Raw genomic sequence first — 13,246 nt, forward strand, 5'->3', positions numbered from 1 at the left:
AGACCAGCCTGGCCAACATGGTGAAACCCCATCTCTATTAAAAATACAAAAATTAACCGGGCATGGTGGCGCATGCCTGTAGCCACAGCTACTCAGGAGGCTGAGGCAGGAGAATTGCTTGAACCTGGGAAGCAAAGGTTGCAGTGAGCCAAGATCGTGCCACTGTACTCCAGCCTGGGTGACAGAGTGAGACCCCCATCTCAAAAAAGAAAAAGAAAAAAAAAAAAGAACAGGACATTGTGGTAAGAGACAGAGGTGAAAAGGAACAAGAGAAATTTTAGAAATAAAAATATGGTAACTGAAAAAGCAGTCAGACAGGGAAAAGAATATTCTATACATGGCTGAAGGGGGCAAAGAAAGGATCATAAAACAGTGCTGAATAAAACATTCTTCCACTGATGTCTCACAGATGCCAGTTTGTTGTAAACGGACTAGTCTGTGCCTCCTCCTGTTTTGGTATTCCTTTTAGTCAGAGGTTGGATTTTCTTTACTTCTCCTTTTGTTCTATAGTACTAGACAGATTGCTGTTATATTTTATTTTAACTTCCTTCCATTGGGACAACTGGTTATCTATATGGAAGAGGATATTAGATCATTACCTTACATACCAATTTTGGATAGGTAAAAACATAATTAATTGTGAACTCTAAATATGAACTACAAAAGTTTAGAAGAGGATCTTCATGATCTCAGGGCAGGGAAGAATTTCTTAAGACACAAATCATAAAAGAATAGGATTGACAGATTTAAGCATATCAAAATTCAAAAACTGTGTGACAAGGGACTTCATAAGGAAAATTAGAAGCTAAGCTACAGTCTATCCATATGATATAAAGACCTCCTACAAATCAGTAACAAAAAAACCAACCCTAAGAAAAAGAAAGGAAGGATGTGACTAGGCAATTCAAAAGGAAACCCAAATGACCAATAAACATATAAAATTATGCTTGACTTCACTAGTGACCAAATAAATGCAATTTAAGTCAACAAGATATAATTTTATACCCTGACACTGGTAAAGGATAAAAATGTCTGTCAATACCAAGTGTTGGTGAAGGTATGAGACACTGGAAACATCATACACTGCTGGTGGGGCTGTGCAATGGTACAGCCATTTTGGAGAGCACTGAAAACCCTGAAAGCCACTTTGTTATTTTAGTTCAATGAAATTTTTCTCTGTGAGTACTTGAAGGTGGAGAACTCTTTCATGACATCAGCCTCCTGGAAGCAGAGTCGGAATGGCAAAGGAAACATATTTATAGATTATGGAGGAACAGTCAGGGTCCTGTAGAGAGAACAGCTGTGAAGAAACAGGCATTTTAAACCAAAGCCTGTATTTTAGAGTCATAATGCTAAACGTCTTACAGCCAGAAGGAAACTTAAAAGTCATCTTATCTACCTATTGATTTAAAAGTAATGGAGACCTAGGAGGCCTAGTACCATGCCCAAAATCTAAGCTGCTTCCAGAAGTCTCCTGCCTGTGGTGTATGCCCAAGAGTCCAACAGATAATGTGCTGTTGGCCTCCTGGTGGAGAGGATAGAGGCTCTATTGAGCTCTGGCTCAGGAGGAGGTTATAGACTGGCTGTCAGCACAAAACAACAAGCAGGTGGGCGCCCCCTACCTCTTCTCCGCTGTACTGCTTCAGGCAATTGAGAAAATGACAAGTGTTGGAAAGCCAAAAGGACAGCATTTCAAAGTCTTCTAAATGTTCCTTAGGAAAATAAGAAAAGACAAAATTGGTCTTGATGATTACTTGTACCTCTGAGCATTTACCTGTTTGGTTATTTGTAGCTTTTGACCAAAATTAGTTTTTCTTTTATTCACTAAAGCCTTTATCCAATTCATATTATACTTATAAGAACTTATATTTATTTAATAGGTCACAGTTTGTAACATGTTTCTGTACAGGTTGTGTCACTCATTATGAAGTGTGAAGTGGGTCCTGAAGGAATGCATGAGAAATGCAAGTTTCACTTCTTGCTCTCCTAAGTTCACACTCTCACTGGGAAGATAGAACAGAGTTTTAGTAGGTGGTCAAGAGCCCATACGATGGCTGTAGACTGTGCTACCAAAGCTCAGAGGACGAGGAGAGAGGATGGGGAGGCAGAGCAGCCAGGGAAACCTCAGAGAGGAAGGAGGTCTAGCCTTTGAGGGAAATGGGTGGAGAGACAAGAGCTCAGGACTAGGACTGTTGGGGAGAAGGCCTCCACTTACAGGGCAGGAAGAAGAGGAACAAGCAGTGAAGGCAGAGCTACAGTGATCAGAGGGGAAAACAGAGAAAATCCTGGGATTTAAAAGACAAGGGAGGAAGCTTTCAAGGAGATGGTGCTAATGCTTTGGTCAATTTAGAGAGAATAAAAAGTAAAGAAACACCACTGGTTTTAGTAAGAGGAGTTACTGGTGATCTCTCTGTAGAGTGATGGGTTAGAAGCCAGATTGCAAGGAGTGACAAAGAGAATTGGTGGAGAACACTAGTTTAAGCACTTTGGCAGTCCGGGGTGGAGGGAAAGGAATAGTGGCTGAAGAGGGTATATGGGCACATTGCTGTAACTGCTGTGTGCTGGAGGTGGGGAGAGGCAGGTCCTGGGCACATGCAAAGGCAGAGGGAGGGGGACACAGAGAAGTTGAGACTGAAGATGCTGGTGAGAAAGGGGTCTTATAGTCCTCATACCACACATCTCTTGATTTATGAATATTTGGCGAAACATTCCAGAGCATCAAGGGGAAGCAAATACTGTGTGTCCTGGGCTGGAACACAATGCCAGCTTGTCTTAAGAAAACCCAATTTATGCAAATATGGACAGGGAAAACATCAATTTATGGGAGCCCCTTCCAAAAACACTGTGGTGGCTCCTGTGAAGATGGTGACTATAAAGTATCCAGCACCAAACAAATGTGAATTTTCTATTCCTAACTCCAGATAAATAATGAATTCATGATATTTTTGGAAGGAGAGGAGAATTACCATACTCTGATCTCTCACAAATCTAGTTTTTATATTTCTTTCTTCCTAGAGTTTATTAATTAATTAATTAATTTATTTATTTTTGAGACAAGGTCTGGCTCTATCACCCAGGCTGGAGTGCAGTGGTGTGATCTTGGCTTACTGCAACCTCTGCCTTCCGGGCTCAAGTGATCTTCCCACCTCAGCTTCCTGAGTAGCTGGGACTACAGGCACACACCACCGCACCTGGCCAATTTTTGTCTTTTTTGTAGAAACAGGGTTTTGCCATGTTGCCCAGGCTGGTCTTGAACTTGTGAGCTCAAGCGATCTACCTGCCTCAGCCTCCCAAAGTGCTGGGATTACAGGTGTGAGCCACCACACCTGGCCTTCCCTAGAGTATTTAAAATAGAATTTAATTCCCCATTACTCTTTAGAACACATATTTTACTAAAAATGAGGTAGGGTCTCCCTAACTAAAAATTCAAATATATCCTAATATCAAACATCACTTCTCTTTTGGAGGGGCATGGAAAACACTGTTATTTTAGTGTTATTTATGTCTTATTGCCCCCTTCCAATATGGATCAGTACATTGTAATTCCCAGAAACGGGTACTTTTTAACATAACTGTAAACTGGTCATTTCCTAGAAAAAGAGAGAGAGAGAAGGTTTTTGTACTAACTCCACTGTGGCTAATGGAATTTCCACATTCAGGGTAGCACCAGGTCTGGCTTAGAACTAAGTCAACCACCCTACCCACACCCAAGATTCCAGAATGCGCCAAGCATTACCAGAGAACTCTTTTTACAAAGCAACTATCCCTGTAAGCAAGGATCCAGGTCTGCTTAAAAAAATCTTCAATGCTTAGATACAGTTATTTACTCATTGATCACTTATGGAGTTTCCAGGAAAAATAATCAGTATGCTAAGAATGATTTTAGGATTATGTTTCAGTTGGAAAGGAAATTAGCAATAAACTTTATGTTACTGTTAGCCTTCACAAAATCCCGCCCTTTGTCATTGTCACTTTTGATCATTATCCACTTGTCACACCATGAAGAGATGATTGCTCATAAAGAGTTCAGTTGGTGACTTCTGATATGTATACCATACACACATGGTCTGTGTCCTATGGTAGGTTCCCTCTTGCCCAGTGGTAAACTGCTGGCTGCCTGCTTGTCCAGTCATTCCAATAAGGACACCGACTTAGGGAATGGCCAACAGCAAGTTGGAAGGAACCTGGGTCCCTTCATGATCACGTGGAACAGAGCCACCTTCCAACCTAGATGGCTCATTATGGAACCGCTATCAGCAAAGAAAAATCCTCCATCTTCTTTAAGACACTGTATATTGGGCAAAGGGAGGTGGCAGGTGTCTCATAGCTACAATAGCTTAACTTTACTAAGTAACTAACCTAACTAATACACAGTTCATCTTCATTTGTGGACTGGGAATAAAAATACACAATGTGCTTTTAGGAAGAAGAATTATATAATTGCCAAGGGAAGAGATGAATAATTTTTCACTCCATTTCATTTCTCATGATTTACCCTTGTTACAGAGATAGAACCTATACCCCTCACAGCTGATAACTTTACACCCTAAGGGGATAGCAGTGGTGGGGCAGTGGCTACCAGGTTGCAGTCTCGCCGGTAAGGCTTTGAGGCCTATGGCAGATGCTCATCCATTTATCTTTCCCTAACAGTGTGGCTCCCTTCACTAGTTGGGCCTCAAACTTGTTTGAGGAATCATGTGGCTCACCACACAATGGAGGCTCAGGATGGGCAAAGACTGGGCATCTGGTCATTCCCATAGATGTGATACCAGGGGCCAATGTCAAAGGCATTTCCTACCTTAACCACCTGCTTGATGCCATTAATGGTGCTGTTCATGAGGGACTTCAGCATGTTGGCATCATTCAGAGAGTCTGCGTAGCGCACACACATGAACAGGATATGAGCCGGCAGCCCGGGGATCATGTTCACCACCACGCCACGGGGCTTCAAGTCTGAAGCAGAGAGAGCCAATGAGGATTACAGCTGACAGGTCAGCTCTTCTCCTAAGGAACTTGTGACTAGGGGCAGGGGCTTGTTTGCTTTTCTGTGCTTGACACAGTGCCTGAATGTATATGGATTTATTTCCTCTTTGAGGAATTCCATCTGGCTCCTTTCTTGGCACAAGATACACAGGTGTCACTTGTTCCTCTTCTTGTTTACAAAGGACTTTCTCTTTCTTAAAAGGTTGAATAAGAGACAGAATCTTTATTTTTCCCTGGTGTGGAAACCCTGGATTTCAGACCCCCATTGTAAGAAAGAAACTCCATTCCATGCACCCCTACTCCAAGCGCTTTGATGAGGATGGCGTACAGTGTCCACAGTCACATGAAGCTGCCTTGAATAGGGAAAGCAGGCACACCCAGTGCAGCAGAGGATGCCTGGCTGGCCTTGAGGAGAACAGAATGGTGGAAACGCTCAGTGGGGATGAAGGGGAGAGAGAAATCTTACAAAAAAAGTTAAGATAAGCAAACAAGGATGTCCCCTGGCTGCAGGAAGACAGAAGAACAAAGAAGAGGCTCACACTGCATGACACCAGTGATGAGGGGAAAGAAAAGGGTAGAGGTGCTCATATGAGCCAAGGGGGTCACTCGCAGAAGAGGAAGGAAGGCTACACGTTGGCTTTCTGTTTTGAGATCTTGGGGCCAGCTGACAGGGAGGCAGATTTTTCTCCCTATGCCAGAAAACCACGTGGAAGGTCACAGTGAAGACAGTGCAGTAAGATTGGTTCTATGACCACCAACTCTTGAGCATGCACATGGGACATTCCTGTAACTGAGGCATGGCTGGGAAGCCCCATCACATTGCCCGCAGAGAAATTTCTCAGAAGTCAAATGGAGCACAGAGCCACAATTGCTTCCATGATGGCTCCTGTGCTGAGACACAAAAATGAGGTGATGTTTCTCTTCTACCCTGGTCCTACAATTTGGAAAAGGTCAGGGCAGTGGTTCTCAACTGAGGACAGTTTTGGCCCCCACAGGACATTCGGCAATACCTGGAGATATCTTTTATTGTCATCACTAGGGGTTGCTGCTGCCTTCTAGTGAGTAGAAGTCAAGGATGCTGCTCCATCCTTTGTTACTCCCCATTCACAGAGTTAACAGGTCAACAGTGCTGAGGTTGAGAAACTCTGGGCTGGGGGAAGAAGCAGTGGAAGAAAAAGTAGAAAAAGGACCACCCCTGCCCAGGACTTTGGCACTGACTGATATGCAAGTTCTCAAAGAGAAAGCAAAAATCCAGAGTTCCAGGTTTCACTACCAAGAATGAGGTTCTGAATGAGCTTGGCCTCGTCTTCTCTCTTGTATTGCAGCATTCCAAGGTACTCCTTGGGTCCTGAGGACGAGTGCACATCATTGGCTGTAGACAGAGGCAAACAATCAGCTAAATACACAAAAGCAGCTTTCACAGGTCTCACAATGTGACTACTCTCCTACCCCATTCTGGCTGGTTTGCACGTAAATGTCTGTGGCTTTCAGATACATTAAAACTGTACTGTATTGTATCCTGAAGAATTTCTCCAAGTAGTGATTCCTCTTTATGAGTACATCAGTGAGTACAGCTGCTGCTGAAAAGGCCCAATTATCCTTTGAAGAGCCTTATGAGTGCCTGATATGTATCCAGCACATGGTAACAGGAAAGAAATCCAAGATGTTGCCTTGTCTTCAAGATGCCAATGCTACTGTGAAAGAAGACTTGTGAAACATTTGGTGTGCAAAATACCAATGTGCATGATCCTTACTGAGACAGCTGTATTAGTTTCCTGTGGCTGCTGTAAAGTTATCACAAACATAGAGGCTTAAAACAACACAAATGTTTAATCATACAGCTCTGGAGGTCAGAAGTCTGAAAGGTGAGCCAGGGTGGTGAATGATGGTTCATTCATTCATCCCAGCAGTGGGGATGCAGCGGGGGCTGGGAAGCACAGACCTGGGCCCTGCTCTCATGGGGCAGACTGCCATTTGTCATTTATTACTGAAGGAAAGGGATCCTCAGTTTGCTTGTGGACATTTCAAATTTGAGGTGAGAGTTGGATAAGTAAGAATAAAGCTGCTCTTCAAAGAGATGAATATAGAAAAAGAAACAAGATACAGCCTTGGCAGTAAGGCTGGGAGGAAGGGGAAAAGGTAATAAAGAATGAAAGAGTGAGAAATGTGAGCAGGAGCTGAACACAGAAAAGTTCAGTGACAGAAGCAGAAGGAGGGAAGAAGGGAGGAGGGTCCCTTTCACAGAGGCTCACGAGGATGCTTTATGTGTGCCATGCAGTCCATGTTCAGGATGTCTGCTTCTTAGCTCTCTACTTTTCTAATAGAAATTTGGATACTTACTGATCCTACATATGTAACAGGGAGAGAAGGTGAATTTCAAAGCAGTAAATTGAAAAATTGTTCACAATTTCATTTTTTAAAAAAGGGAGCTAACAGAGGAAGAGGTTAATGTGTTAATTATAGGATGTCTCTTGCGAGTACATGAATGTATCTGGTATCATCTGAGTGGGAGGGAGCTGTCTTCCTGACCCAAAGGATCCTTTCGTTAGCCCAGCACTAGGTCACAAACCTCACCACTTGAGAATCATTCCTTTGGGTTTCATAAGCTTTGGACCAGAAAGAAAATAAACACTTGAGCGCATGTTAGCCTTAGCTCAAAAGAATAAGAAAACAAGTATTGTTTCTTACCTTTTCCAATTGTCTTGCTTAGTGTCTTGACTTGATCTTGTAGCTTTTTAATCACTCTGTCTTTCATGTCTAATTCTTCTTCAAGATCCTACAGCAATAAAAAGAAACCAGGATTTAGCTTAGAAGCACTTTAATCTATTTTTTTTTTTTTTGGGTAACAGCTTTATTGACATACAATTTGCATACCGTACAACTCACCCATTTAAAGTGTAAACTCAAAGGTTTTTTAGTGTAGTCAGAGTTGTGCTACAATCATCATTATTTAATTCCAGAACATTTTATTACTCCAAAAATAAAACTGACCTTTAGTGTCACTCTCTAGTTTCTCATTACCTTCCAGCACCTGGCAACCACTCATCTACTTTCTGTCTCTATGGATTTGCCTATTCTGGACATCTCATATAAATAAATTCATAGAATAGGTTTTTTGTGTGTGTGTCTGGCTTCTTTCACTTAGCATAAGGTTTTCAAAATTCATCCATGTCGTAGCATGTATCAGCATTTCATATATTCGTATGGCTGAATAATATCCTATTGTATGCATATACTACATTTATCTTGCTCTTATTACATAGGAGTGCCCATCATAGAGAATTTAAAAATATGAATGTGGGAAAATGGGCTTTCTAGATTTCAGAAGCTGGAGCTAGAGAAATGTTCAGAGATTTGGGCCTGGTTTTGCCTTTCTTTCCTGATAAGTAGGTGGCCTTGCCCATGCTGAATTTGGCTCAAGAACCAGAAGAGTCCTTGGATACCTAGAAATATTTCCTATAAAGGACATAGTGTTTAAGTTCTTCCACATCTGAGCATTTGACACATATAGAATTCAGGCTTCTCTGACCCAGAAAGACCCACCATGCAGGGTCACTGCAGCTGTGTGCCCTCTAGGGACTCTTGGGGCCGAGGGACATTGTGCTGTTTCTACTCTGTGCGGCCACCTCTCTCCCTGCCACCATTCTGTGTCCCTGGCTAGACATGTTAGGAACTCTATTGACCTTAGAAGTGGCGGTGTCAGTACAGCTTCCTCCCTCCAATTCAAGCCCATCTTATAATATATCTAATAAAATGGGTCACCCATCAACCCATAACCCAGAAAAAAACCACTCTTCACATTTTGATTTCATTCCTTTTTTCCCAATATGGTAAATGTACATTTTATAAAATTGGGATCATATTACATGCAAAATTTCAAATCCTACATTTTTCTCTAGTTATACTGCAGACGTTTTCCCATGTCATTGATAATATACTCAAACCATCATTTTAACAGCCAAGTCATATTATATCATACAACAATTTAACCTTTGCTCTATTGTTAGGTATGCATTTCTCTCCTTTGGGTTGCTTTTTTTCTCTATGATTAATAACACTAAGATGATCACTCTGAACAAAAATCTCGTCCACATGTTCAAGTATTTACTTAGGATAGAACCTTACAAGTTGTGTTACTGAGTCAAAGGGAATGTACTTTCCAAAGGTTCATGATCCATACCTTCAAATAAGCCCTCAAGAAAGTTTATACCAATTTATATTCCCAGCAACCATGTATGACAGTGCCCATTTCAAGATGTTCTCTCCAGCAGCATAAGATCTCTATTAATTATTATTATTATTAGTAGTAGTATTTTTAGAGACAGGATTTTGCTCTGTCATCCAGGCTGGAGTGCAGTAGTGTGATCATAGCTCACTGCAGCCTCAATCTCCTGGGCTCAAGCAGTCCTCTTGCCTCAGCCTCCTGAGTAGCCAGAGCTACAGGCATGCACCACTATATATATATTTTTAAAGTTTTCCTTGTAGAGATGGGGTCTCACTACGTTGCCCTGGCTGGTTGAACTCCTGGCCTCAAGTCATACTTCTGCCATGACATCTTAAAGTGCTGGGATTACAGGCATGAGCCACTGTGCCAGGCCCAGGTCTCTGTTAATTTGACAGGCAAAAATAGTACCTAGTTTTGATTTTGAATTTCTTTGATAAATAGTGAAATGATTACTAAAAGTTTTTTTTTAATCTCTTAATAAGAATTCAGTGACAAAAGAGTCTGGAAAAAAAAAAGAAATTTCTTTGACTCAAAGCATCACATAGTGGTTTGAACAGTGTCACCTTGAAATTCATGTCCAACCCAAACTCCAGAATGTGCCTTTATATGGAAATAGGGTCTTTGCAGCTGTGGTAAGCTAAGGGTCAGTATGAGAGGTGGCTACTACAATTTAGGGTGGGCTGTAAATCCAATGCAGGTGTCCTTATAACAGATGGAAAAGAACACAGAGACAGGGAGAAGGCCAGGTGCAGAGAGGCAGAGGCTGGAGTTACACTGTTCCAAACCAAGGAATGCCTGGAGCCCTCTAGAAGCTGGGAGAGGCAAGGAAGGGTTTTCCTTAGAGACTTCGGAGGAGTGTGCCCTGCTGACACCTTGACTTCAGACTTCTGACCTCCATAATTGAGAGAACACATTTCTGTTGTTTTAAAGCACCTGGTTTGTGGTCATTTGTTACAGCAGCCCTGGCAAACTAATACAGATCAGGTCTCATTTGTGGGTAGAATCCGCCGGCTAATGTATAGAGATGATACTCTTGTTGTGTGTCCGTCTGCTTCTATGTAACAGTGAGGCTACTCCGGGTTCAGAAAGAGCTATTGAAATGAGCATGTCAGGCCTGCCAGCTCCTTAGCTCAGCGCACCTGTGGGGAGCAGAGCCAGACACTTGGAGGAGCTCCAGAAGAGGGCGCCAGGACCGAGCTGTGCTCCAGGGCACCAGGAACGAACTCATAAATCCGTCACAATGCACAGGGACAGTCAGAGTAAAGGATCACATGGGATGACATGCGCAGCACACACATGACCCACCCATGTAGCTTCTCCCTGACCGCTGACTCCATTGAGATCCCAGGGGCCCACAGGAGGCAAGGCAAGGCAAGGCAGCCTCACACATGGACAACAGGCGGTTGCTTCTCTGTTGTAACACGAGGATTCCAGTCTCTGAGAAAGTTGTATCCACCTCAGAAAAGGCAGCTGTCATGTAGGTGTCACTGATTGGAATTTGTTACTTCCTATTAAATGTCAAACTCCTGGAATTTCTCTTTTTGGATGTAACCACTCTTCAAAGTTAAACCCTGACACTCAAAATATGTTTTTCCTCTATCAAGGTTTTCCTGTGAGATTGGAAATGGGGGCCCTGTCAGCAGGGAGAAGGGTACGTGGGCATGTCCACACTGACCCACTGGACTCGTCAGCCCTCCTGCGTTACCCTCTTGGAAGCTGGAAGCTCTCAGGTTTCGAAGGGGCCCGAGAGGGTCCCAGCTCCTAGGAAAGTGGCCTGTCACTTCAGCACTTCTCAGTCTTCTGGGTTCCACACAGCATCACAATTTCAAAATAATTGCTGGGAATTGATGTAAGGTTACCCGATTTCATTTTGGTAAGGGCATTTAAAACTCAGAAAAGACCTTAAACACTTTTAAAAAGTTTTTAAGCCTTCCATCGACATCATGATCATTTCATAGAAGAACATTTTGACTCTAAAAATTGTAGGAAGGCCATACCCCCAGAAGAAAGCATGGGCACTTATATGGGGTGAGTTTTGCTGGGTAAAGCACTCACACGTAGGCCTTGCTATCCTCAGTGTGTTCCAGAGCACAGTGACTCCATCCTGGGTGGTGCCGTGCACTGATAGTGCTGGGGAACTACGGCCTGCACCTCTCTGTCTCTCCTCCTTCACCCTCCCCAGGCGGGCCTGTAAGTCCCCAAGGCCTTCCCAAAGCCAACCTCAGAGACCACCTGTCTTTTGGGATAAGAAAACAGACTGCTCTGATGGAAGGACTTTTGGTCTATAGATGTTAATCATATGCTTTAGGTGGCATGTCCCCCCTTTCAGCAACATCTGCACACAGACAGTCTTTATCACCAAGTTAGAAGACTTCTCACCCTGTTTTCCAAAGTGAGCCGGGATGCTTCCTGCCGGAAGTTACACTTGACTTCACTTTCAGTTTCAAATTGTTTCTTCAAGTGGTCACTGGCCTCCTGCATTTCTTGAATCTTATCAATCAGCTTCTCCTTCTCTTTGGTATGTATTTCATTTTGGGCTTCCAAGGCCCTGAGAAAGGGAGGGAGGAATGGCTGGTATCAGTATGACGGTCATGGAGAAGTCACTCACTGTCATAGCAAGTGCTGATATTTCCAAAGATGGAAGAACACCTTGGCCAATTTCTGTGTAAAGCAAATAGTATTCGAATAGGGGTGTCCTTCCAGGGGAAAGAAAAGAGACCAGGACTGGCTGGGATAGAAAACTGTCCATGGACTGCTCTGGTCTCCTTCCCCCAATAAGAGTTCCATTCTCCACCCAACCTCAGCCCCACTTACTGTTCCCATGGGACATCCACGCCCACCATACGCTGTGACAGCTAAGCAGTCATCCCCTTTGTGACCAGCCTGGGGACCAGACACTCACAAAGCCAGGGATCAGACAGAAGAGAGGAGGAGAGACCATTAGAAGAGTTCCAAAATGGTGCCTCGCTCCTTTTCCACTACTTTGGGTCCTCATCCTACTGATAAAGTCACATAACTAAAGATGCTCTTGGGGATGTCAAGTGCCCATTTATTATTTTGGAAAAATAAGTGTCTCAACAAGTTGGCAACAAAACAGAACATTCTCCCCACAAGGCTCTGCCAGGGCACGAGGCCCTTTATTGGTCTCGTGATGGAAATTTGGGGGGATTAGCAATGAAGATTTTCCATCAACATGGGCTTTTAATTCTTACCCTAAATAGTCTGCTAATAGAAACCGTCCTCTCTCACACACTCTTATCTGTTGTTTGAACAGATAATTCAAGTGCATGGTATAGCATTTCAAGGGTACAAAAGTGTACGCATACAGTGAAAAGTACGTGTCCTCCCCTCCTCTGTGTATCAGTCACCAAGCCTGAAGGCAACCAACTGCCTGGAGGCAACCAATGTTTTGTTCCTTAACAATCTCCCAGAGATGCTGCTGCTGCTGAGTGTGTTGTACATACACATATTTCTTTCCTTCCCATCAGAATGGCAATATGTCATATATATTAATTAGCATCTTGCTTTTTGGCATTAGTAACACATCTTGGTATATTCTACAGTTTCAGAAAAGCATTACACGAGCATGAACTTGAGGTACACACATATTTACACTTACTTTCTTTGTGTTCCTTCCTCCTCTTGACTGCGATGTAACTGATTAGACAATTCTTCTAGTTTTCCTATAATGAGAAGAACTGTCAGTACTTTGGGGGGGCACATATCACTGCATTCTGATTTGGGTTTGGTATTATTTTCAATTTTTAGAGGTCCTAAACTAGGGGTGTCCGATCTTTTGGCTTCTCTGGCCCATATTGGAAGAAGAATTGTCTTGGGCCACATATAAAATACACTAACACTAACAATAGCTGATGAGCTGAAAAACAAAACTGCAAAAAAATCTCATGTTTTAAGAAAGTTTACGAATTTGTATTGGGCCTCCCTGAAAGCTGTCATGGGCTGCATGTGGCCTATAGGCTGCGGCTTGAACAAGCTTGTCTTAAACTGTATCCAGACAGAGATTAACTTTTATTTGGT

The 13,246-nt window shown here is 42.9% G+C and overlaps 1 protein-coding gene across 5 annotated transcripts in view; it reads right to left on the reverse strand.

The window, feature by feature from the left end:
- Positions 1-13,246, reverse strand: part of MYO5C (myosin VC) — a 103,483-nt gene that overhangs the window by 14,610 nt on the left and 75,627 nt on the right. For all 5 annotated transcript variants that reach the window (XM_047432845.1, XM_017022408.3, XM_011521781.4 and 2 more), the window contains 6 exons: positions 12,828-12,891; positions 11,588-11,756; positions 7,672-7,759; positions 6,257-6,355; positions 4,799-4,953; positions 1,623-1,712 (listed from right to left, as the gene is read on the reverse strand). In XM_047432845.1, coding sequence (XP_047288801.1) covers positions 1,623-1,712; positions 4,799-4,953; positions 6,257-6,355; positions 7,672-7,759; positions 11,588-11,756; positions 12,828-12,891 — 665 coding nt within the window. The remainder of the gene's footprint in view (positions 1-1,622; positions 1,713-4,798; positions 4,954-6,256; positions 6,356-7,671; positions 7,760-11,587; positions 11,757-12,827; positions 12,892-13,246) is intronic.

Source organism: Homo sapiens, chromosome 15 (assembly GCF_000001405.40).
Source record: "Homo sapiens chromosome 15, GRCh38.p14 Primary Assembly".
NCBI classification, from domain to species: Eukaryota; Metazoa; Chordata; class Mammalia; order Primates; family Hominidae; genus Homo; species Homo sapiens.